The following is a 25,111-nucleotide window of genomic DNA, read 5'->3' as shown; positions in this document are numbered from 1 at the left end:
AACACTTTAGAACAGAGGTTGTAAACTAGCTGCCTATAGACCAAATTCAACCCACAGAGATATTTTGGTCTACCTGATATACTAGAGTTTGAAAAATTACAAAGTAAAATTGTAGTTTCTTACATCTCTTGAAAAAGACAAAAGATCTGATATTGTCGGACCTTTATTCTCATATGGCAATAGTCAGCCAAAACCTTTATGATGTTAGTTAAGGGTCCCACCACTTCTTGATGTCTTAATACAGGTGTATCCCTCATTTACATTACTTGCCTGACCCTGTAGACACTGGAGTTGGAAAGTTCTGCTTTAGGGATTTTAGTGGTGATGAGTGGTCACTGGGGAGGAGAGGCTTGAGTGTAGGTGACTGGATAAAAAAACATTTCACACTTACAAGTGTACATTGCATGTTCTGACAAGGTTTCATTTATTTCATTTAGATGATTTCTGCTGTTTTCACAGGTAACCTCCTTTCTCACTGCCAGTGTCCCAGTTATATCTATCTTGGGCTGTTGCAGTGCCCTCTGAACACTTTTCAGAACTGAGATCCTCTAATGTCTAGAGAATTCAGGAAAAGCAAAAGTTTCCCCTGCTCTCACTCTACTTGTCTCATCCTTTTCATTGCCGGTTTTAGCTGTCTGCTTACTCACTACCTCTCTCCCTTCCAATCTCTTTATTTTCTGTCAGGAACTGTTAGTTCTATGACAGATAACAGTGTCTTGCTTTGACAAGGATAATAAAGAGAGTGGTTTTTTCCCCACTCAATAATAAAACTGGGGCAAGCCGAGAATCCCTATAAAGACTTATCTTATAAGACGGTGCTTTCACTTGTGTAAATGACACATCTGAAAATGGGCAATGAGAGCAAGTTCCTACTATCGGGAAATTGCTCTTAGGTTCTCTCTGGGTTTGGGGACCTCTCAGTTAACTGTCTGTTTTTTGGGGCCTGGGCCAATCCTACTTCTATAGAGACCAGATTAAATGAAACTCTGCCTTCTGAACAAGCCAGACAATCTCTGCCACATTGCATTTGAGGGTTGCTCATACCATTATAGGAAAATAAAGCCCAGGGGCTTAATGTCAAAGGCTGGAAAAGGCACTCATGCTCTGATGTTTGTTGAAACTTTAATGAATGAGGCTGCCCTGAATTAGCCTCTTTCCTTTCAGAATGCAAGGCCATCAGGGTAGACAAAGATTTCTTAAATTTCTTAAAACCTCAGAAACACTATACATCAAAGAAAAAATTGACACATTGGATTTCATTAAAATTAAGAACTTTTACACAGCAGACACCACTTTTTTTTTTTTTTTTTTTTTTTTTTTTTGAGACAGGGTCTTGGTCTGTTGCCCAGGCTGGAGTGCAGTGGCATGATCATGGCTACTGCAGCCTTGACCTCCAAGGCTCAAGCAGTCCTCCCACTTCAGCTTCCCAAGTAGCTGAGACCACAGGCTCATGCTATCATGCCTGGCTAATTTTTAAATGTTTCTGTTAGAGAAAGCGTCTCTTTGTGTTACCCAGGCTGGTCTCGATCTCCTGGGTGCAAACAGTCCTCCTGTCTCATCCTACCGAAGTGCTAGGATTACAGATGTGAGCCACCATGCCTGGCCAAAGACACTATTAAGTAAGTGAAAAGGACTGGACGCAGTGGCTCACGCCTGTAATCCCAGCACTGTGGGAGGCCGAGGCAGTTGGATCACAAGGTCAGGAGTTTGAGACCAGCCTGGCCAACATGGTGAAACCCTGTCTCTACTAAAAAAAAATAGGAAAATTAGTGGGGCGTGGTGTTGTGTGCCTGTAATCCCAGCTACTTGGGAGGCTGAGGCAGGAGGCTTGAACCCAGGAGGTGGAGGTTGCAGTGAGCCGAGATTGCACCACTGCACTCTAGCCTGGTGACGGAGTGAGACTCTGTCTCAAAAAAAAAAAAAAAAAAGTAAGTGAAAAGATGAGCCAAGAACAGATCAGAAAAAAAAAAGCATAATACATACATTAAGAATATCCAGAATTTATAAAGAAGTACAAATCAGTAAGTAAAAAACAAAAAATCAATTTAAAAAATGAGCAGAAATGTTGAACAGGTACTTTACCAAAGAAAATATCCAAATACCCAATAAGCATTTGAAAAGTACTGAACTTTATCACTCATGAGAGCAGTGCAAATTAAAACCACAATGAGTGTCAGTATACACCTAGAGTGTTTAAAATTAAAAAGACTTATAGTATTAGGTGTTAACAAGGGTATGGACCAACTGAAACACTCATACATTTTAGGTGAGTACAAATTGGTACAACCATTAGGGAAATCTATTTGTCAGTATCTACTAAAGCTAAACACCATAACTCCATGACCCAGCAATCTCACTCTTAAGTATATCTAAGAGAAATGAGTACCTATTTCCACCAAAGACATGTACAGGAACATTTACAGCTGCTTTATTTATAATAGCCACAAGCTAGGAACAACCTAAATATCCATCAAAAGAAAATGGAAAATGGATAAATAAACTGTGGAATAGCCATACAATAGAATATTACACAAACATAAATAAACAACAAACTATAAATATACACATTGACATGGATGAATCTCACGGTCATAATATTGAATAAAAGAATTCAAATACAAAAGAATCTCTGTGATTCCATTTGCATGATGCTCAAGAACAGGCAAGTTATGGAAGTCAGAATAGTGGTTACCTCTGGGTAAGGTATTGACTAAGGAAGGCATGAGGGAAACTTCTGGGGTTCTATATCTTGATCTGGGTGGCAATTTCATGGTTGTATACCTATATAAATTTTTATTGAGCAATGCCCTTAGAATTAGTGCATGTTATCATATTATGTTGTATCTTTTTTTTTTTTTTTGAGGCAGAGTTTTGCTCTGTCTCCCAGGCTAGAGTGGCGCGATCTCAACTCACTGCAAGCTCTGCCTCCCGGGTTCACACCATTCTCCTGACTCAGCCTTCTGAGTAGTTGGGACTACAGGCGCCCGCCACCACGCCCGGCTAATTTCTTTTTGTATGTTTAGTAGATATGGGGTTTCACCTTGTTAGCCAGGATGGTCTCAATCTCCTGACCTCATGATCCACCCGCCTCAGCCTCCCAAAGTGCTGGGATTACAGGTGTGAGCCACCGCGCCTGGCCTGTATTATGTTGTATCTTAAAATTTAAAAAAAGAATCCAAGGCCACTGTTGTCTTCAAGTGGGTATTTATCTTCTTCCCTACGATTCCAGTGGCTGTGGCAATAACACTGGCTCTTTACAGAGCTGCCTTAAAGGGACAAAAGAGAGAACGAGAAGAGTCAGGTGGACCTAGAAATTTTGGTGGTATTATAGAAAACTGCAACAGAAAAGCTGAAGATAACTGGGATTTTGCTCGTCACAATGATTAGCTTTAGTCGGGGGCATGCCTTCTGGTTATTAAGCTACTCCCTTCTTTCTGTCTTCTACTCACCCATCTTTACCATACATAGGTTTACAGTACTCATGCAAGTGTTCTGTCCTCTGAACTCCTTAATAAAAAGCTTGCTTTCTCCCAAGCACTGTATTCCTTTCTTAAACTTCTTTGTTTTTTTATTATTGTCATCGTCTGTCTTATAATCATCCTGGCTGAAATCTCAAAGTCCATTTGCCTCTTCTGCCTCTCCCTCCCTCTGCCATAAACATCTTTGCTCTGTGTTAGTGCTTGGCCACTCTTTTCATTGCTTAAATCCCTACCCCATTTCATACCCATTTCCGTCTCTCCATAAGGTTCTGACTGCACTGGCTCCTTAGCTTGCGTCTCTTCTCCCTTTGCACCACCCCCCAAAACACATACACATAGAGGATGCTTTCTCCTGTTTTCTTGATTTTTCTTTACGTGTTCATGTCATAGTTACCAAGATCAAATGGTAATCCATCAGGGAAAACTTCCTTGCTAGATCTCTCTGTTACATACTCTTAAAGATGCTTTTACTCACCATGTCCCCCGGCACCTGGCACTATTTTGGCACAGAGTGTATGTTGAATGAATGCAGCTGTCCCTAACTTCTAGAGGAAAGGATCTCTCCATTCAGAATCTCTGTAAAGTACTTATGATCTGTGGCATTCATGTTGCACATTTCAGTTGCTGCTTTTGCCATCATTAGTTATTCATATGCTATGTCTTGTCTCCCGGTAGGCCAGTATTTGTCTTTGATTTCCTTCCCAGTGCCCAGGAGCTGCTTCACAGAAAGGAGGCATTTGTCCTAATATGTATTATTACTTGTGTTTTTCTATGAATTTTTAAGGGCAGGTGCGTGTTTTATTCATCTTTAATCTCTAGTGCCTAGCACAGTGCTTGGAATATTATGGAAACTTAGTAAATATTGAATGAATATATAGTGTTATACTCATCCCAAAATAGTCAAAGCTAACTTTTAGAAAATACTTTCAAAGCTAACTTTCTATAATGTTTATGGACCTGCTAATCCCTGAGTATAATGACATGAATCCAAATGTTGTATCTCAGGAATAAATCCTTAGAGGAGGTGTAAGGTTTCTTGCTGGGCTTTGAATGCCACCGTCAATTAGTTATGTGGCAGAGAGCCAGGTATTCTGGTGAAGTTGCTTTGTAGCTTTTAAGCCACAAGGTGGAGGTGTAGAATCAGTTTTGCCCACTGGAGGACACCAGGTCACTGGTTTCCTAACCCAGTGATTCTCAAACTTTAAGGGGCATCAGAATCACCTGAGGAGCTTGTCGAAGCACTCCTTCCTGGACCCCATACCTAGAGATTGAGTTGTTGGTTTGGGGTGGGACCTTTGATTCTGCCATTATTTAGCAAATACCCAAGGTGATTTAGCAATTTTGTTGGTCTTACAAGATGGAAGCAGTGGTTAATCAGAGAGGTCCATGTTGAATTTGCTCAAGTTCACTCAGACCCAGGGTCTTTGGGGTTTAGGCCAGAGATTGCTTGCGTCCATTCCTTCTCACCAGACACAAATGTCTTTTATGACAAGAGACGTCGCTTCAGACCAGAGCATCTGGGGAATGCCTGGTAAATGGAGGGGAGCTCTGCAAACAAGTATCATTTCATATTCTTCCTTTCGTATTCCCCAAGTCCAGTTATTCAGAAGTAGATAATATCAAAACCTAAATCAAATGGACTTTCTTATTTAATTATTTAATTATTTATTTATTTTTTGAGACAAAGTCTTGCTCTGTTACCCAGGCTGGAATGCAGTGGTGCAATCTCGGCTCACTGCAGCTTCCACCTCTTGGGTTCAGGCGATTCTCCTGCCTCAGCCTCCCAAGTAGCTGGGACTGCAGGCATGTGCCACCATGCCCGGTTAATTTTTTTGTATTTTTAGTAGAGATGGGGTTTCACCATGTTGGCCAGGTTGGTCTTGAACTCCTGACTTCAAGTGATCCACTCATCTCAGCCTCCCAATGTGCTGGAATTACAGGCATGAGCCACCGCGCCCAGCCAGCTTTCTTATTTTAAAATCAAATGTTGACGTTTTCTTCTTAAAAATTTTTATGGTAAGACTTTTTTTCAAATATGTGTAAAAGTAGGCTGGGTGCAGTGGCTCACGCCTGTAATCCTAGCACTTTGGGAGCCCCAGGCAAGGGGATTGCTTGAGGCTAGGAGTTCAAGACATGCCTGGGCAACATACACCCTATCTCTACAAAAGTATTCTTTTAAAAATTAGCCAGGTGGGGTAGTGGCAGAGTCTGCAGTCCTAGATACTGGAGAGGCTGAGGCAGGAGGATCGCTTGAGCCCAGGAGGTTGAGGCTGCAGTGAGCCATGATTGCACCACTGCACTCCATCCTGTGTGACAGAATGAGACCCTATCACTAAAAATAAATAAAAATTTAAAAAACAGTTAAGGTGGGCACGGTGGCTCATGCCTGTAATCCCAGCACTTTGGGAGGCCAAGGAGGGTGGATCACCTGAGGTCAGGAGTTTGAGACCAGCCTGGCCAACATAGTGAAACCCTGTCTCTATTAAAAATACAAAATTAGCCGGGCGTAGTGGTGGGCCCCTGTAATTCCAGCTACTCGGGGGGCTGAGGCAGGAGAATTGCTTGAACCTGGGAGGCAGAGGTTGCAGTGAGCTGAGATTGCAACCATTGCACTCCATCCTGGGCAAAAAAAGCGAAACTCCGTCTCAAAAAAAGCAACACAAAACAAAAAACAGATAAAAGCAGAATAGTAAAAATAATATTTACCTATTCTGGGTATTTCACACTATGTATAATTATTCAGGGTTCTCCAGAGGAACAGAACCAATAGGAGATATATATATATATATATATATATATATATATGACAGTTTATTAGGGAAAATTGGCTCATACCATTACAAAGGTGAATGATAGGCTATGTGCAAGCTGAAGAATGGGAAAAGCCAGTAGAGTGGTCAGTTCAAGTCTGAAAGCCTCAAAACCAGGTAGGCCGACAGTAGAGGCTTCAGTCTGATGCCAAAGGCCCAAGAGCCCCCAGGAGGCCACTGGTGCAAGTCCCAGAGTCCAAAGGCAGAAGAACTTGCAGTCTGATGTCCAAGGGCAGGAGGAGAGGAAGCAAAGCATCAGGCTTGGAAAGAGAACAAGGAACATCAACAAGCTGAATATCCCCCTTTTTCTGCTAGCTTTGTTCTAGTTACACTGGAACAATGCCTGCCCACATTAAAGGCGGGTCATGTTCTCCCTGCCCACTGACTCACATCTCAGTCTCCTCTGGAAACAGGCTCACAGACACACACAGCAACAATGCTTCAGCAGCCATGTAGGCATGCCTGAGTCCAGTCAAGTTGACACCTAATATTGGCCATCACGATATGTGACCTTCTGTCTGGCTTCTTTCACTTAGCATCATGTTTTTGAGATTCATCCACATGTATTAGTGTCTCATTCTTTTTTATGGCTAAATAATATTCTATTATATATACATTATACATATATGGATATACACATTTTGTTTATCCATTCATCTAATGATAGCCGTTTGGATTGTCCCATCTTCTGGCTATTGTGAATGATACTATCATTAACATTCGTGAACAAATTTTTTTTGAGAACCTGTTTTCAATTATTTTGGGTATATTACACCTAGGAGTGGAATTACTGGATCATATGGTGATCCTATATTAAACTTTTTGAGGAACTACCAAACTGCTTTCCATAAAAAGATAATTAAAAAAAAAACATAACCACAATATTATTCCACCTAAAAAGTAACAATAATTCCTTAATACCATCTCATATCTAGTTGTTACAATGGTTTTTGTGAAGCAGGACTCAAAATCCTTACAAAGCAATTGGATGATTTGACTTCTAAGTCTTTTTAGTTTGTAGGTACCCCTGTCTCTCACTTTTTTTTTTTTTAAAGACAGAGTTTTGCTCTCGTTGCCCAGGCTGGAGTGCAATGGCGCTATCTTGGCTCACTGCAACCTCCACCTCCTGGGTTCAAGCGATTCTCCTGCCTCAGCCTCCTGAGTAGCTGGGATTACAGGCGCCCGCTGCTACACTCGGCTAATTTTTGGTATTTTTAGTAGAGATGGGGTTTCACCATGTTGGCCAGGCTGGTCTTGAATTCCTGGCCTCAAGTGATCCACCCACCTCGGCCTCCCAAAGTGCTGGGATTACAGACGTGAGCCACCCCACCCGGCCATCTCTCACTTCTTTTGCTTGCAAATTATGTGTTGAAGAAACTGGATTATTTGTCTTACGAATTTCTTATATTCTAGCTTATGCTGATTGCATTCTTCTACTGTAATTTAGCATATTCCTCTGACTCAGGTTTTTCCCATGAATTGGTATTAGATCTAGAAGCTTGAACAAATTCAGGTTTGATTTTTTTAAATGGGTACAAAAATATTTCATTGATGATGTGTGTATCCATAAAGAAATTAAAAATGCCTAGTTATCTCTCTGTTTGTTTTGAAATACTTTGACAGACTTCTTAGTTTAGCTTTTTAAAATACAAGCCATGCTGGTAAAGATGTGGAGAAACTCAGTCACTCACATATTGCTGGTGGGAATATGTAATGGTATAGCCACTCTGGGAAACAGTTTGTAGTTCCTTTATATATTAAAGATGAGCTTACCATATGACCCAGCAATTTCATTCTTGGATCTATATCTAGGAGAGATGAAATGTATTTCTATACAGAAACTTGTACATGAATGTTCATAGCAGCTTTATTCCTTATAACCAAAAGCTGGAAACTACTCACATGTCCTTCATTAGGTGAATGTGGTACATTCATACCACAGACTGCTACTCAGTGATGAAAAGGAACTAACTGTGTTGATACAACTTGGATGAACTTTAAGGAAATTTTGTTGACTGAAAAAAAGCCAATCTCAAAAGAATACATGCTGCATAATTCCACTTATGTAATCCTCATTAATGATATAATTCTCAAGATAAGTACAGATTATTGATTGCCAGGAGTTAGAGATGAGAGTAGAGGACAAGTTGCATGAGGGAGTCTTGTGATTGTACAGATAAATATCTTAATTGCAGTGATTGTTACATGAAGCTATGCATGATGTACATATACAAGCTATACAAGCGAGTTTCCATAGCATAGTGGTTATCACATTCACCTAACACAAATGAATGCATGTATAGCTGATAAAATCTGAATAAATTCTGTGGATTGTGCCAATGTAATTTTCCTGGTTGTGATATTGTACTATGGCTATGCAAGATGGTGGTAACATTGGAAGAGGCTGGATAAAGGATGCACAGGACGTTCTTGTACATTTCTTGTGTCTTGCTCTGAATCTATAATTATTTCAAAAGAAAAAGAAATACAAGTAACAGGTAATAATGTTCTCCTTTTAAAACTGTCCACAGGCTAACGCCCCCTCTGACTACCTCTTCTAGTCCTGGTCCTTCATGTTTTCTCCTGGGGGTAGTGAGTATTATGAGTTTATAATATATGCTTCCAGAACTTCTTCTTGGTTTTTATATGCTTATACATGTACCCGTAGAAAAATATATGGCATTATTTCCATATGCTTCTATGTTTTTCACACAAATAGTATGCTACTATATAATCATTCTACAACTGGACTTTTCACTCATTGGTATGTGTTGAGAATTTGTCCATATACACGTGTGTTCTGCATAATGATGTTTCAGTCAATAATGGACCCACATGTATGACAAAAGTCCCATAAGATTATAATGGAGCTGAAAAATTCCTGTCACCTGGTAATGTAGCTGTCATAATGTAGCACAACACATTCTTCATGTGTTTGTGGTGACGTTGGTGTAAACAAACATACTGTGCTGCCAGTCGTATAAAAGTGTAGTACATAAGATGATGTACAGTACGTAACACTTGATAATAAACAGCTGTGTTACTGGTTTACCTGTTTACTGTATTGTATTTCTTATAGTTATTTTAGTGTATATTCCTACTTATTAAAAAAAGTTTACTGTAAAGCAGCTTCAGGCAGGTCCTTCAGGAGGTATTCCAGAAGAAGGCATTATCATAAGAGATGATAGTTCCACGTGTATTATCGACCCTGAAGATGTTAGTAGAACAGATGTGAAGGTAGAAGATAGTGATATTGATGAGCCTGACCCTGTGTAGGTCTAGGCTAATATGTGTGTGTGTGTGTGTGTGTGTGTGTGTCTTTGTTTTTAACAAAATAAAAAGTTTAAAAAGTAAAAAAAAAAAAAAAGAATAAGGATATAAAGAAGGAAAGTGCTTTTGTACAGCTGCACAATGTGCCTGTTTTAAGCTAAGTATTATAACAAGAGTCAAAAAGTTAAAACAGTAAAAAAGTTTATAAAGTAAAAAAGTTATAGTAAACTAATGGTCGGGCGCGGTGGCTCATGCCCGTAATCCCAGCACTTTGGGAGGCTGAGGCAGGGATCACTTGAGGTCGGGAGTTCGAGACCAGCCTGGCCAACATGGTGAAACCCTATCTCTACTAAAAATACAAAAATTAGCCGGGCATGGTGACGTGTGCCTGTAATCCCAGCTGCTCAGGAGGCTGAAGCAGGAGAATCACTTGAACTCAGGAGGCGGAGGTTGCAGTGAACCGAGATCACACCACTGCACTCCAGCCTGGGTGACAGAGTGAGACTTTGTCTCAAAAAAAAAAAAAAAAAAAGTTATAGTAAACTAAGGTTAATTATTGCAGAAAGAAAAATATTTTTAAATAAATGTAGCGTAGCCTGTGTGTAATATTTATATAGTCTATGGTGGTAGTGTACAGTAATGTCCTAGGCCTTCACATTCATTCATCACTCACTCACAGACTCACCCAGAGCAACTTCCAGTCCTGCAAGCGCTATTCATGGTGGATACCCTATACAGGTGTACCATTTTTTTAAATCTTTTATACTGTATTTTTACTGTGGCTTTTAAATGTTTAGATACACAAATACTTACCCATTGTGTTACAGTTGCCTATGGCATTTGGTGTTCCATATAATAACATATAGTAACATGCTGTACAGGTTTGTAGCCTAGGTTATACCACATAGCTGGGGTGTGTAGTAGGCTATACCTTCTAGGTTTGTGTGAATACTCTCTATAATGTTTACACAACAAAATTGCCTAACAACACATTTCGTAGAACATATTCCTGTCATTAAGCGATGCATGACTGTATTAACATATCCAGATTTATCTTCTTTTGCCAGTTAAGAATTTGAGTCAACCTTTGACTCTCTGTTGCGTCAGCTTAGGTTTTTCTTCCAGGAAGTCTTTTGTGACTACTCCCACTCCTGTCTCCCCAGTAGAGGGCAGTTATTCTTCCTCTGTCCTCTCTTGGCAGATCTTCCCCTTATTACAGCACTGTTCATGGAAACGGTAACATCTTTGAATCCATGTGTGTGACACAGTGCCTAAGATAGTCAGCAGGTATTCAATAAATATTTAAATGAAAGTATGCATGAATAAATGAATTACTGAATTGTAGGGAAGGGTGTGAAGTGAATGACTTAGATGAATCCTTCTGGCCCTGATGCATTGCAGTCTGATGCTGTTCTTTTTAATAGGTGGAATAATCCATCTCCACAGCATATTCTGTGAAATCTTGTTGAACCAAGAAGCAGAAAAAACTTGCTTCTATTTCGGCTGCTTGATTGTGTGGTCAGGGTCAAGTCATATAATTACTCAGGACCTTGGTCTCCTCCAGTGTAACATAGGTTGATGTTAACCACACTGTCTATTTTATAGGATTATTTTAAGGATTAGATGATATGATATACATGAAAACATTTTGGAAATTAAATTTACTGAAGAACTTGTTGCTTCTTCAGGGGTATCTATGTTGATATAATCCCTTCAGTGAATTCTTTGTAGTTTGAACTTTCTATTTTGTAATTCCAGGTTTGACCTTATGTTTTATGTGTTGGGAGTCACATATTTTAGATAGGGACTTCTTAGTATACTCTCAATAATAATCTTGGCTTCTTTTACCCATGAATTTGCCCATATGTAGAAGACTTTCCAAGAACACTGCTAATATTTCTGGATTATGCATAAAATACTTGTGTGTTTTGAATCTGTTTTCTATTCTGATCACTTAACTTTCCCATTTGTTTATGGATACTTTGGAAGTGGGATGGTGGATCTGTAGAAAGAAATAAAACTGAGTGTAGTTTCAGACCTAACTTGGTGACTATGTCCAATGCTAACCAAGGGAAACTTGTTTTGTATCTAGAAATCTACCAAAGGAGGGATATTATTTGCCCTCATTGAGAAGGATGGTAAGGGACACTAAGATTGAATTTCAGAGACCTTTGAAAATTTTTGTTTGACTGTTATTATATGGATTTAAAATAATGACTGGATTTCAAATTTAGCATTTGTACCAGAATCCTATGGGTCAGTTTATTATGTGAAGTTTCCATTAAGAGGCTCTCTAAATTCCCTATTCTCATACTTTTCTCAAAGCTTTCTTCCATGGACCCTTTTTAAAAGAGGGAGTATATGTGAGAAGACATTTCCTTCTGATTATAGAAGTTTATATTCATTGTAGAAAAACTTGGAAAATAAAATGAAAGCTATAAGGAAAATAAAAATGACCCAAGTTCTATAGTCTAGTTAATGTATCTTCCTATTGATATCCATATATCCATCAATATGTATAGTATATCACTATCTATTTTTGAGCATAATTGGGTAGGACATGTATTTAATACCTGCTGAATTCACTGGTCACTTTCTGAAACATGGTAGATGAATCTACTTTCTTTTAACTTGTAATTGGCTTCCTTTTAAAGCTTAAATAATTTTCCTTTTGAACTTCTTTTCTGCAAATATCAGAAACTTTTTTTTTTAATGTTATTTTATTCTTTGAGACAGTGTCTTATTCTGTCACCCAGGCTGCAGTGCAGTGGCTCAGTTGATCCTCCCACCTCAGCCTTCTGAGTAGCTGGGACTACAGGCATGTGCCACTATGCTCGGCTAATTTTTGTATTTTTTTTTTGTAGAGACAGGGTTTCACTTTGTTGCCCAGGCTGGCCTCAAACCCCTAAGCTCAAGCAATTCTCTTGCTTGGGCCTCCCAAAGTGTTGGGATTACAGGCATGAACCACCATGCCCAGCCAGGAACTTGCTTTAAAGTCTAAGATATAATTAAGATACTTGCTTACCTGTTAAATTATCTTGTTGGATCCTTACATGATTAGCACATGGATGAATTTAACTCACTTAAAGGATGTATGGTGGCGTCATGGCTTCATGTGAGATGTAGAGACCTGGATGGTCATTGATAAATCACTGTGGACCACAGATCTCCACCTATGCACCTATGTAGGAGGACTTTGACTCAGATGCTCTCCAAGCTTACTATTGTTTATCTGATTTTATGCTGTTCTGCTGCTTGCCCCTCGAGATCAGGTTTCATGGGTAGACAAATGTTAAGAGCCATGTGAATCTCGATGGAGCCTGTTTTTGCTTTGTTAGTTGTGTGTGTGTGTGTGTGTGTGTGTGTGTGTGTGTGTGTGTGTGTGTGTTGAGACAGAGTCCCACTCTGTTGCCAGGCTGGAGTGCCGTGGTGCAATCTCAGCTCACTGCAACCTCCGCCTCCCAGGTTCAAGCGATTCTTTTGCCTCAGCCTCCCAAGTAGCTGATACTACAGGTGTGGACCACCATGCCCAGCTAATTTTTTAAATTTTTAGTAGAGACTGGGTTTCACCATGTTGGCCAGGATGGTCTCGATCTCTTGACCTCGTGATCTGCCCACCTTGGCCTCCCAAAGTGCTGGGATTACAGGTGTGAGCCACTGCGCCAGGCCTGTTAGTTTTGTTTTAAAAACGTTTTAAGTCAGTGTTTTTCTTTTTTTTCTTTTCTTTTTTTTTTTTTTTTTTTTTTGGAGACAGAGTCTCGCTCAGTCGGCCAGGCTGGAGTGCAGTGGTGTGATCTCGGCTCACTACAAGCTCCGCCTCCTCATGCCATTCTCCTGCCTCAGCCTCCTGAGTAGCTGGGACTACAGGTGCCTGCCACTACGCCCGGCTAATTTTTTTTTTTTTTTTTTTTTGTATTTTTAGTAGAGACAGAGTTTCACCGTGTTAGCAAGGATGGTCTTGATCTCCTGACCTCGTGATCCGCCTGTCTCGGCCTCCCAAAGTGCTGGGATTACAGGCGTGAGCCGCCGTGCCTGGCCAAGTCAGTGTTTTTAAAACTGCTGCTTATGATCTATTAGATTGTTCATTCAACAGCTGATTATCAAATGCCTATTATTGTCTGGCACCGTTTAAGCATGGGATACACCAAGAAAAGATGTAAAAGATAATCATCTAGTGGGAAAAGACAAATAGGAAACAAAATAAATATGTAAAAATATATGGTATGTAAGATGGTGATTGATGCAGTAGAGGAAAATGAAGTGGGCCAGGGAGGAAGCATTGGAGAAGTTGTATTTCTGCATAAGGTGTCAGGAAAGGCCTAATTGAGGAGGATATTTGAATAAAGACTGAATGAATGAACTATGCTCAGACCTAGGGAGGAACATTCTAGGCTGCAGGATCTGTAAGTACTACGGCTCTGCAGCAGAAGCATGCCTGGCATGTTCTAGGAGCAGTGAAGAGGCACCATGTGGTTGAAGTTGAATAAGGTAAGAGAGTCCTAGGAGGTGGGGTCACAGACATAAAGGATGAGGGTAGGGGGTATTGTCTAGGGCCTTGCTGGCATTATAAGGAATTTGGTTTTTACTCTAGTTGAAATGGGGAGCCGCTGGAGGGTTTTCAGCAAAGGAATGATAGGATTAGATTCATGGTTCAGCATCTCCTCTGGCTGCTTTGTTAAGGATAAACTGAAGCATGGGCCAAAAATGAAAGCAGAGACAAGCTAGGAAGCTCTTTCAATAATCCAGTGGGTGGCCGGGCATGGTGGCTCATGCCTGAAATCCCAGCACTTTGGGAGGCTGAGGCGGGGAGATCACTTGAGGTCAGTAGAGTTCAAGACCAGCCTGGTCAACATGGCAAAACCCTGTCTTTACTAAAAATACAAAAATTAGCCAGGCATAGTGGTGCCCGCCTGTAATCCCAGCTGCTGGGGAGGCTGAGGCAGGAGAGTTGCTTGAACCTGGGAGGCGGAACTTGCAGTGGGCCAAGATTGCACCACTGCACTCCAGCCTGGGTGACAAAGTGAGACCCTGTCTCAAAAAAAAAAAAAAAAAAAAAATAATAATAATAATAATCCAGTGGGTGATGAAATCAATTTAGATGGTCACAAGTATTTCTTAAATAAAAAATATAGAATAGAAAGTACATTGCATATAGTAGGTGCTAATTATTGTTTAATGAATTTATGCTAAATTAATGTGGGTGTACGAGGATGCAGTATAAAATTATGAAGGGTTACTATAAAAAAATTTTAAAGCTATTGTTCTGAGGCATTCATATTATTGCCAACTAGAGGTGATTTTGGTTTTTGGACATGTTCTCAATGAGTGGCTCCTGTATGAAACAAGCTGTTTTCCTGTAATCGTGTCTCATCAGTCAGCAGTTGGAGGAAAGGATTCTTTCCTTGACCTTTCTCTCTTCTCTTGTTTTCAATTGTTTGCATAAGAGTTCTTTTTAGAAAGTACTAAATCATGATTTTTCTTTTCAAACCCTCTTCTGCTTAGGATTTTTTTCCAGACTTTTCTTCTTTCCTCTTCAGCATTCCTCTAGCTTTGTGGCCTTGTCACCTAATACTCAGTGCATCCACCCCAACTTCTTGTCTTGCCATCAGAGACTGCCTGTTTACCTGCATATCCTCCCACCCCCTCCTTCTGCACTGTTACTGTTGCTGTAGCAACTGCCATCTCAGTCTCCCTCCTTCCCCTTGCTTTTTTCCTTCTTGCCAACGACTATTCATTGAACTCTTCCCAGTTTTATGCACTGTGAGGTCAGGGCTGATACTATGTAAGGTGAAGATTAAATGGCTATTTATGAAAATTGTTATTTCACCAGCTTTTGGGTAGAGGGCGTTTTTGAATAAGCCAGGCCATCTGATAAACTCAAATGACTAAATGTTGAGTCCCTTATTTTGTGGAAAGTCATGATAATAAATCTGTTATTATACTGCCTCTTAATTTGCTTTGAGATCTTGATTGGTTCTGTGGGGCTTTTGGAACCTGTGGGCCAAAAAAGTTGAAGCGTTCTGGGCTCTAGAACACATCCACTCTGGGCATGTTCCTGTTCTGGAAGATAATGATTAGAAACACTGCAGTGCCCGCCATCCATATGTGCTTCATGAAAGGGCTGGATATGCCATTTGATTATATAAAGATTTCTTTACAGAAATTTAGTCAAGCCTTTCTGCCAACTTCAGTCAAACTTAAATTTATGGAGATTCAAAAAGTATACTGAATTCATCTGTATATCAAGCCAGAGAAATGTGGCAGTGAATCATGTTCTGGGGAAAATAAATGTGTTCATTCACAGATCGCAATGTGTCTTCCTTGGGTTGGTTGTCCGACAGTTCTGGTTCCCTCTGGAGGTTTCAGTCTTGGGACTGAGGAGTGCATTAGGAAAACAAAAGAGAAAGCCCAGGTTCTTCATCTCCCTTCCAACTCACATAAAATAAATGGTTAATGGATTATCGGGACTCTAAACATACTTGAATGCGACCAGTGTGGACTGTGACTCCCTGAACTTGCTGACTTTTTACCTAGTTCTAGTATCTTCTAGGATTTGTCATATTCTGTGGGTTGTATTATAGGAAATACAAAACATCCCATATTCCTTATAGATCATCCTGCCTTAAATCAGAAACTGTGATGGGGAGAGACTTTCTCCCATAGAAAGGACCTTGCTTTTCTCTCTCTACTTGGGATACGACACCAGCTCTGATGTCTGTGAGTTAGGATAGTAGTGCCTCGACCCCAAGCATTCCACCGGTCTTATAGAGCTTTCACGTGGAAACAATGAGGAAATTCATGCCAGTGGTCTTTGGAAAATCTTGTTGGTACCACCAGGTGTATCAGATGGATTAGTTAATCATGGATTTATAGTAATCTAGGTCCACAGAGCCTGATCTTGGAAGCTTTTTCAATTCCCTATGTTGTGCTAGAAGTGATACGCTCAATCACTTTCCCTGGAAACAGCCTTGGCCTGTTTCTCTTGTGTTCCCAGGCTTTAGCCTTGGCTAAGTACTTTTTTAAATGTTCTTTTTACCCCACCAGAGCAATAAAGAAGTCCAATTGAGTGGTTTTTGTGTGTGTGTGTGTACTTAAAAAAACAAAACAAAACAAAATAAACCCCACAGGAGACCACATTTGTGAGGAATGTTTTCCTGATGTTCTGAGGTGTTCTTGCTTTTCGCCCTAGGTCTTTTGGATCACCTTGGATCACCTCCTACCCTGTTCTTGTGTTTTATAGCAAATCCTTGGATGAAGATAGGTTGGGGTAGATGTATTTCATTAATTTTTCTTATAAAGATATTTTTATTTGAATTCACTGTTAACATGTTTTACTAGTTCTTTCAATATATTGCTCATCTCATTTGAATGTATTGGTGGCCACTTCTCTGAAGGAGTAGAGACAGTGGCATTTTCATTATCAAGATAAGTGTCTAGAAAGCAAGTCAGGATTGAGGCATTCTTGTTTGTATAGAGGCACCCCCATTTCTTCAAGAGGAAATGAGAAATTTCTTCTTCAGGGAATGTGTTGAGGACAGGAGTATAACTCTGATCTGAAGAGGAATTGGAGATCCTTCTGCGAACAGACATGAGACCATAAAAAGTGCCATGTTGTATGGTTAGCTTTTCATTGACTTTGATAATTTCTTTTTTCTCTGCCTTGTTTTCTCTCCACCCCCAACCCCACAAATTCCAAAATGGAATCATGTTTCTCACAGTGTGGTTTGAAAGCTACCTGTATCACAATTAACTGGTGTTGCTGGTTAAATTCAGATACCTGGGCCCACTTCCCAGATTGAATTAGAATATTGTGGGGGACAGGGGGTGGGAATCCTGAGAATCTACATTTTTTAAAGTCCTAGATGATTTTTCATGCATCTTACACTTGAAGCCAGAATCTTTGACATCATCTTTGTATCTTGACTATGAGGGCAGACTGCTTCCAAGCTTTGCCTTCCCGGCAAACCAGATCATCCTTATCATTCTCAGCAGGAGTGGCCAGCTGTAGACCCCTGCTGATAAATTACAGTTAATGTAACTTACTTTCTGGATTTCAGGTGTCATTTCATCCCTCTGGAAGGAATAGAATTTTGTGACAAAACATGAAGTTTTCAGTGTTGGTGGCTGCTGCTCTTTAAATAGCACCCCTAAGCATTCTAGGAGTGAGATTCCTTTGTACTTTCTTTGTGTGAGAGGTCAGAGTTCCCTGCCCAGAAGCATAGGCAAGAGAAAAGTTAGTTACTATCCTGGAGCCCACAACCAAATTCCTATAGTGTGATCAGACTGCAGATGGTGGGTCAGGGAGCTTGGGTGGGGTTGGGATGGCCCACATGCCTGTCCTGGGCAGACTCCTCTACAGGCCTGACTAGAATGGGCAGAGGAAGTTCCTGTTAACAGATGGAAAGGGTGTTTGCCAGAGGCCCTAGCTTTCCTCTCAAGGATGCCTGAGCTGCTGCAAACCCCTGCTGCTATGGGTGGTGAGGCTGGCCAAGTCTCTTTCTGTTGACTCTTGTTTCCAACCCCCAACTCCTAGTCAGTCCTACAAATGCTGGTTTATTTGCACACTCCATACTGATGTTGGATTGAAAGCCTCTCATTGTTTTTGAGTTCAGTGTTTAGATAACACCACATGCCTGTCGCAGCCACAGCACCCTGTAAAGGAAATGCCTGGTCTCTAACAATCCTGTCATTCATTTTCTGTATGCAAGAGAGTGTGGCCTGTGTTTAGGACCATTATAAGGGCATTTCTCTGCAGGGATTACTACTTGGGGCCTGCAGGGATACCAGGCCCCTCCTTGATGTCTGGAATTCTAGGGAGGGTTTTCTAAGTCTTCCCTCTTTACTTTCATTCCAATCCTAAAAGGATTACAGGTTGTTTTGCCCAAGGCTTGTTTCCACACATAGCTGCACTACCAGAGCATTCCTTCCTTTGGTGAGAAGACTGCTTTGGGGGACACAGGACTGACTGGGGCTGGTGTTGGTACAGGCTGTTTTTGTGACCAAGCTAGGTTGGCAGCTGCCTTTGTACTGTGGTTTCAGGGCTTCCCTTCCCATAGGATAGGATAGCTCTTTTCTTGTCCACTTAATTTTCCCCACCATTCTCTTGGCAAAAAAAGAAAATGTGTTATCTTCCTTCAATATTAACTCTCTTCTGGTAATATATAGCTCTTTTTTCACTTGGTACAATGCGATTAAAACTTCTTTAAAATGTTTCAGATAAATCTGTTAGGCTCTAATTTAGGCATCTTGAGGCCCTTTTCAGGTCTGTGATTCTCCAGAATTTATAAACTTTTTTCTCTAAAACTACTGGGATCACTACCTATCCATGACAATAATGTCTGCATGAGACAGAGTGAGTTCTGATGTGGCACTTGTGTCTACAGTGTCCCCAACATATATACTTCACTTTCCTGCCAGTAATTCAGTGCTCCAAAAATTAACCCAACATACAAAATAAAACTTGGTTTTGACATGGACTATGAGCAGTCATCCCTCTGTAATAAAATAGTGATCTTTACTGCCTGAAAGATCACACTTACCACCCCCAACAACCTTTAAAAATTAGTACTGTATATACTTGTTAATGTTCATGGCCATCCTGGTTCACTATAATGTTGAAAGTACCTTCTGAGTCATCAAAAGAAATTATTTAGAACCATACTGTGTGAAACTTTTTAAAAAATGTGAATCTTATGAAACTGCAGAAGAATATTAGGTGAACCAGAACATAGTACTCTTTAGTGAAACTAGATAAATGAAGTTCTATATATTAACCAAAGTATATTTTAAAGCTACATATAAACTTGTGGGGAATTGTAAAGGAAAACAAGTCATTTTCCTTTTCTAATTGTTGCACTGCTTGCTCTGCATTTAAATTTAAGAATTGTCTTTAATACTTATTATCATGCTATATAGAATATAAAAATTCTTTGTGAACAGATTAAAAATTCAAAATTAAGTAATGAAATGATTATGATTGACAAATTATCGATTATAAACAAGTTTCTATTGTTCAATTTTTTGAGATGGAGTCTTGTTCTCTCACCCAGGCTGGAGTGCAGTGGCGTGACCATGGCTCACTGCAGCTTCAACCCCCTAGGCTCAAGTGGCGCTCCCTCCTCAGCCTCCTGAGCAGCTGGGACTACAGGCACATGCCACCATGCCTGGCTAATTTTTTAATTTTTTTGTAGAGACAAAGTCTCATTATGTTGCCAGGGCTGGTCTCAAACTCTTGGGCTCAAGTGATCCTCCTGCCTCAGACTCCCAAAGTGCTGGGATTAAAGGCCTGAACCACTGCACCCGGCCTATTGTTTTTACTGATGGTTCTTGTATCTCTAATATGAAGGATGACTATATTGCTTAAACACTGTCCATGACTACCCAGTTAGAGTGGATACAACCCACTTCTCAGGGTCTTGACGAGTATGCTTTTGGTTGTGCAGTTAGCTTGGGTAAAGAAAATCATTATTTTAATATGTCTCTTCTTTCAAGATGTTTTTGTTATCCTTTTCTTGTAACTTTACTGGTAATTCATCTTTTGGAGACTGAGCAAGAGAACTGACAATTGAAGTAACTTGTTTTAAAGTAACGAAGGAAGCGTTGCTACCCTCATTATTCTAGCCACTGCACAGAAATATCCTTTTGCTGAAATTCAGCTATGCAAGCTTGACAGGAGGTCATAGGCAAACATGTGTTTTTCAGACTCTTGTTTAGCCTATCTCATGCCTGATTCCTGTGCCTTGTGCCTTCCAGTTCTCTCCTGCGCTATGGTGGAAACCTGTCCCTCCAAAGTGCCATGAGTGTACGATTCAACAGCAACGGGACCCAGCTCCTGGCCCTGAGGCGACGCCTGCCCCCTGTGCTCTATGACATCCATTCCCGCCTGCCTGTGTTTCAGTTTGACAATCAGGGTTACTTCAACTCATGCACCATGAAAAGCTGCTGTTTTGCAGGAGATCGTGACCAGGTAAATGCTGTCTGCCTCCTGCATCTCACACTTATGCTTTTCTTTCTGATTGTTCTTTCTATACTGGTCTTTATTTCTCATTACCATTATGTCAGGTAGAAACAATTAAGGGGAAACAGTGAGTGCCTGGAGATGTTCTGACTTAATAATAGTGAGTTTCTTTATCAAGGCTGTCAATGGGTAAATACAAGGCACACACCATAAACCAAGGCTGGCCACGATATGGTTCTGAGCCACCTAGCTCTGCCAAGTTTGTGAACAGATTTTAAGATTCTAAGAATGTGCCATTTCAGAAGAAAGGAGAGGGAATCCATGGAAAATTAGCCTGCTGGTGAGAGAGACATTAAAAAAAAGAAACCAATAAAACACAATGATGAATGAAACACCCTAAGTACCATCCAAGAGACATGTATCTTGAATGGCCTCTTGGGATGCCATCTTTTTCTTGGATGAAATGGGGTAAGCAGCTTTGTTTGAGAGGGAGCCAGATGCTGACTCTTTTTCTTTTTACTGCCAGCATCACAACTGGAAATGGAGAGCCCAAGCTGTGAGTTTCCAGCCTTTTCTGAGTCTCACCAGGAATGGAGATGCTGATGTTGACTTAAAGCTGGCAGTTTAAGAATATACTTGGCCTTCTTGCACCTTTCTGTCTTAACCATAGAAGTTCTGAAGTGTCAGTGACCAGTTGGGCTAATCTGGGTCACCAAGCCGAGGAAAGACAAATGGGAAGAAAGACAAATCTAAGGAAAGACTGATCAAATAAACAAATAGAATTTTTTATTCTCAAGCACAACAAATCTTATTGCTATTTCACATATAGATTGGGAAAAAGAAAAACCTTAGTCTCTCGCTAATGTTTAGTGTTCTTATCTTTGGGTCAACTATGTCAAATTTTGACTTAAAATTCTTATATGCTGTACCCCACCTCTTTAGAGTTATTTTTGGCATAAAAGAAATATAAAAGAGGCATAAAAGAAAAATTTCTTTGAGAAACTGGCAAGACCTCGCTTTTTGAAGTAAAAGCTAGGATTTTTCTCCTTAGATGGGGGTTGCTAGAGGCTTCCTAATGTCATAGTTTAAGGATTAGTAGATGTAATAGGAGCCGAATAAATGCCTGTTGAATTGTCTTGCGTGTAGATAGATGAGAATGTTCTTTTAAGTTTTCTGAACTAGAGATTTCCTCTCTTATAAATAGAGACTATATATCCAAATTCAGAATTTATACTCATGTTGGAGTCTTAGGGCCTACTTAGCTGAGATCCATACTGGAGACCACTAGGTGGCCTCAGTGATGTCTCCTTGGGGTGCCCACAGTACCTGAATGACTTAATTTGTATATACCTGTATGGCACTGCAGGGAATTTGTTTCTTGGGTGGGAAGAAACAGTTTCTATAGGCGATCAGACTCTCAATAGAACAGATATACAGAATGGTTGATTTAGCTTTGTCTGGCTGTGGAAATGACAATCAAGTCTCTCCCTCTCTTCCTTTTTTCCTTCTTTCTTTGCTTTTGTTGATTTCCTATCCTTTGTCAACTTCTTATGCATGTAATTCTTGTTTTGTTGAATAATAGAGCATGCAGTGAAGGTGATATTAATAGTTTACTAGGCTTTATTTCCAGAAACCAGAGGCTGAGGGAAAGGTGATTTTCTTCAGGTTGTGTTTAGCAACAAAGCCTATCTTCATGGACCTTAGAAGACCCAGAACAAAGACCTCTAGCCAACATGTAAGCACCTAGACCATGGTTTCCCATCCTTATCATTGTTAACATTTTGGCTAGATAGTTCTTTGTTGTGTGGAGCTGTCCTATGCATTATAAGATGGTTAGCAGTATCCCTAGCCTCTTCCTACTAGAAGCCGGTAATATCATCCTAAGTTATCCTCCAGGCAACCAAAAATGTCTCCAGACATTGTCCCCTGGGGGGAAAATTGCCCCTGGTTGAGAACCTGTGATCCGGATTATAATTACCCATTTTGCTCAGATGCATTGGGGCAGGTATTGTCATAGGCAGAGCCACAGAAGGTATTTTGTGATAGTCCTAGGTATATACATCAAAGATATCATTGTTTCTGTCTTTCAGTTTATATATAATTATAAAAGTATTGAATGGCTTTTGATTTTTCTCTATTTAGATTTGACTAATTTATTATTTGTGACTTGTCCTATGGGAAGAGTTTTATGGGTATTTTATTCTCTCTGACAGACAAGACTTCTTTTTGGCTGGGGTAAGTGGTTTTCCTTGAAAGAAGATGCAAAGTCATTGAATCTAACTTTGGGTCAGTTAACAGAGTTAAAGTCTTAAAAGTCTGTTCATATTCCTGAAATAGTTAGAGGTATATAAAATACAGAGATTTATATTTGGCTTTTTTGTTGACTCCTTAGGGACTAAGAAATGTAGCTAATTCATCATTGTCTTGTCTCCAAATCCTGGCACACAGTGAGAACACAATAAAAATTTGTTGAAGTAAATCTTGAGTACGTTGGTCAATGTGTGGTATTTAGCTTTGTGGGCCTAAGTCTTCTCTAACTGTAAATCAGGATTGATAAGTATGATTTTTCCTGTTCAACTTCCAGAGGCCTGGAAGGATGGATGAATTAAATAATTCATCCAATTAGGAGGATGAATTAAATAATGGATTTATAGTGGAACTAATCTACTGAACTTATAGTTTTTTTTAAGTGTGCACAAGAAGTCAGACTTACTGTCCCAGTCCTAGAACATGTCTCAAAGGTGATTTATAGGCTCTGACTTTCCACACTCAAGGCAGCAGTTGTCACAGTTACAGTGTGACCTGCAGGACTGACATGTATATTCTTTGATGAGTCTAGACAGAATCTTTTTTTCTGCTTTCAGTTTCCATAGCCTGCCTTTTCCTTATATTGGGCTTTATATTTGACCTCATTCCTGTGTGCTCTGAGAACACCCACAGCCTGAGGCTCTGTGTTCTGGAACTTTTCATTTAGTCATAGGCTGGGTAACCATCCCAGACAGGAATCTGAGAATTTCCGTAATAGGAATGAACATGGATGAGAAAAGCAGTAAGAGATCCTATTTATCTGAGACAGTCATCTGGCTTTTAATTATGAGATTATTCAGTCCATACAGATGGACCCAGATATTCTTCAGAGTACGTGTACTTCTTTTTAAACTATCCTAGGTTCACTAGGTAATTCATTAGCCTCAAAATAAAATTAACATTTCAAGAAATTAGACTTGGGGAATAAAGTGTGAAATATCTGAACCTCCTTTGTGTCTCCCTCATGCTCATTGCCACCACTGTAGATGAATTCTAATTATAGAGCTATTAGAGATCATTTTATACAAACCTTTTCTTTCACAGATGAGTAAACTGAGTCTCAGAGAGGTCACAAGTCACAACACATACAAGTTTGTAGGCAAACCAGGGCTAGAACCCAGATTTTTGGGCTCTCAATAGAGACCCCTTTTCACTGTACAAATGATCACAACTTGTTGCGGACAGGAGCAAGACAGGCAGCAAAAATAAGTGGATTGGGCTAGGAGTAAACATTAAGGAGTGGTGGGGATTGTGGAGAGCCCACATCCCATCTAAATGGGCCAGCTTCTGTACAGCTTTAGCCCGTTGTTGTCAGGGCCTCCGATTTTTTTCAAGAGAGGACAGAAATAAAGATTTTTATGTAAGGTCTCTTGGTTTTAAAATATTACAACAAATTCATACTTTATTGTATAGATGAAACAAATCTGTGCACCATACCTATTCTGCTCTGGATCCACCAGTTTGAAACCTCTGTGCTTCATTCAGCAAGATGTTTTTTCTCATGTTTAGTGCCATGGTCTGTCACTAACTCATGGAGACAAGTTCCTTTTTCCTGCTTCCTGCTGAAGGCTTCCTAACTTCATGTCTTTTTCCTTCCTCCATCTTTTAAAATAAGAGAGCATATATTTACTGAGCATTTACTGTATGCCTGATGCTGTGATAGATACATTCACATAACATTGCCAGATGGTACCCTCTTTGAGATTTGCACTCAAAGCCCTTTATACAATCTGTCTTCCCCCCTTTTGGCTACAAATACATAGTTTGTTTCTTTCTAGTATATTATAATTATTCAAGTTTGATAACTTCTAGCATCAGATCAGGTGACAAAAGTGACATCAGGTTGGCTGGGTATCAACAGAAGCAATTAGCCTTAACTAAAGGCTTACACTTTTTTACTTTTTTTGTTTAAAGCAAGCCTACCTTCTAGTCTTGCAATATAGTGCGGACTCTGGCAGTAAAACAGCATTCCTTTCCTTGGAGGCTACCTGAGCCCAAAGGTTCTTCTTGCTTTCACTTCCTACTTGGATTTTTGTTTTGTTTTCTCCCTGAAGCCTGACTGGGTACATTCTGTCTTCTAAGCTTCATACACTTCTCTACATACTCAGTGAGCGAGTCTCTTAATAGGGTTAAAAAAGAATGCCAGTATTCTACCTGCTGGCTTTTCTGGCATGCACATATAAGACAGCACTTGGCTCTTGTTCCTTCTCTTTCACAATTCCTTAAATGGCTCTTGTCCTAGATTGTGAGTCCAATAGAATGGCTCAGGCTTCTGGTAAGCAAGTCTT

The 25,111-nt window shown here is 40.1% G+C and overlaps 1 protein-coding gene across 14 annotated transcripts in view, besides 1 other annotated feature; it reads left to right on the top strand.

The window, feature by feature from the left end:
• The window catches only part of DCAF5 (DDB1 and CUL4 associated factor 5), a 102,317-nt gene that overhangs the window by 40,999 nt on the left and 36,207 nt on the right, over positions 1-25,111 (top strand). For 9 of the 14 annotated variants that reach the window (XM_006720298.3, XM_006720297.3, XM_011537278.2 and 6 more), the window contains 2 exons: positions 20,312-20,525; positions 22,147-22,251. In XM_006720298.3, the coding sequence (XP_006720361.1) occupies positions 20,312-20,525; positions 22,147-22,251 (319 nt within the window). Of the gene's footprint in view, positions 1-20,311; positions 20,526-21,042; positions 22,996-25,111 lie in introns of those variants that run through there. The other 5 variants (NM_003861.3, XM_017021737.2, NM_001284206.1 and 2 more) reach the window with 2 other exon arrangements.
• Positions 18,033-18,327: a silencer, noted in NCBI's record as "tiled region #2739; K562 Repressive non-DNase unmatched - State 7:EnhWF". NCBI's record gives its function as "represses a minimal TATA promoter and a strong SV40 promoter by Sharpr-MPRA in K562 cells {active_cell/tissue: K562}" and the evidence as "EXISTENCE:reporter gene assay evidence [ECO:0000049][PMID:27701403]".

The sequence above is a fragment of the Homo sapiens genome, chromosome 14 (genome assembly GCF_000001405.40).
Source record: "Homo sapiens chromosome 14, GRCh38.p14 Primary Assembly".
Lineage (NCBI taxonomy): Eukaryota > Metazoa > Chordata > Mammalia > Primates > Hominidae > Homo > Homo sapiens.
This window is presented reverse-complemented; position numbering and strand designations above follow the sequence as displayed.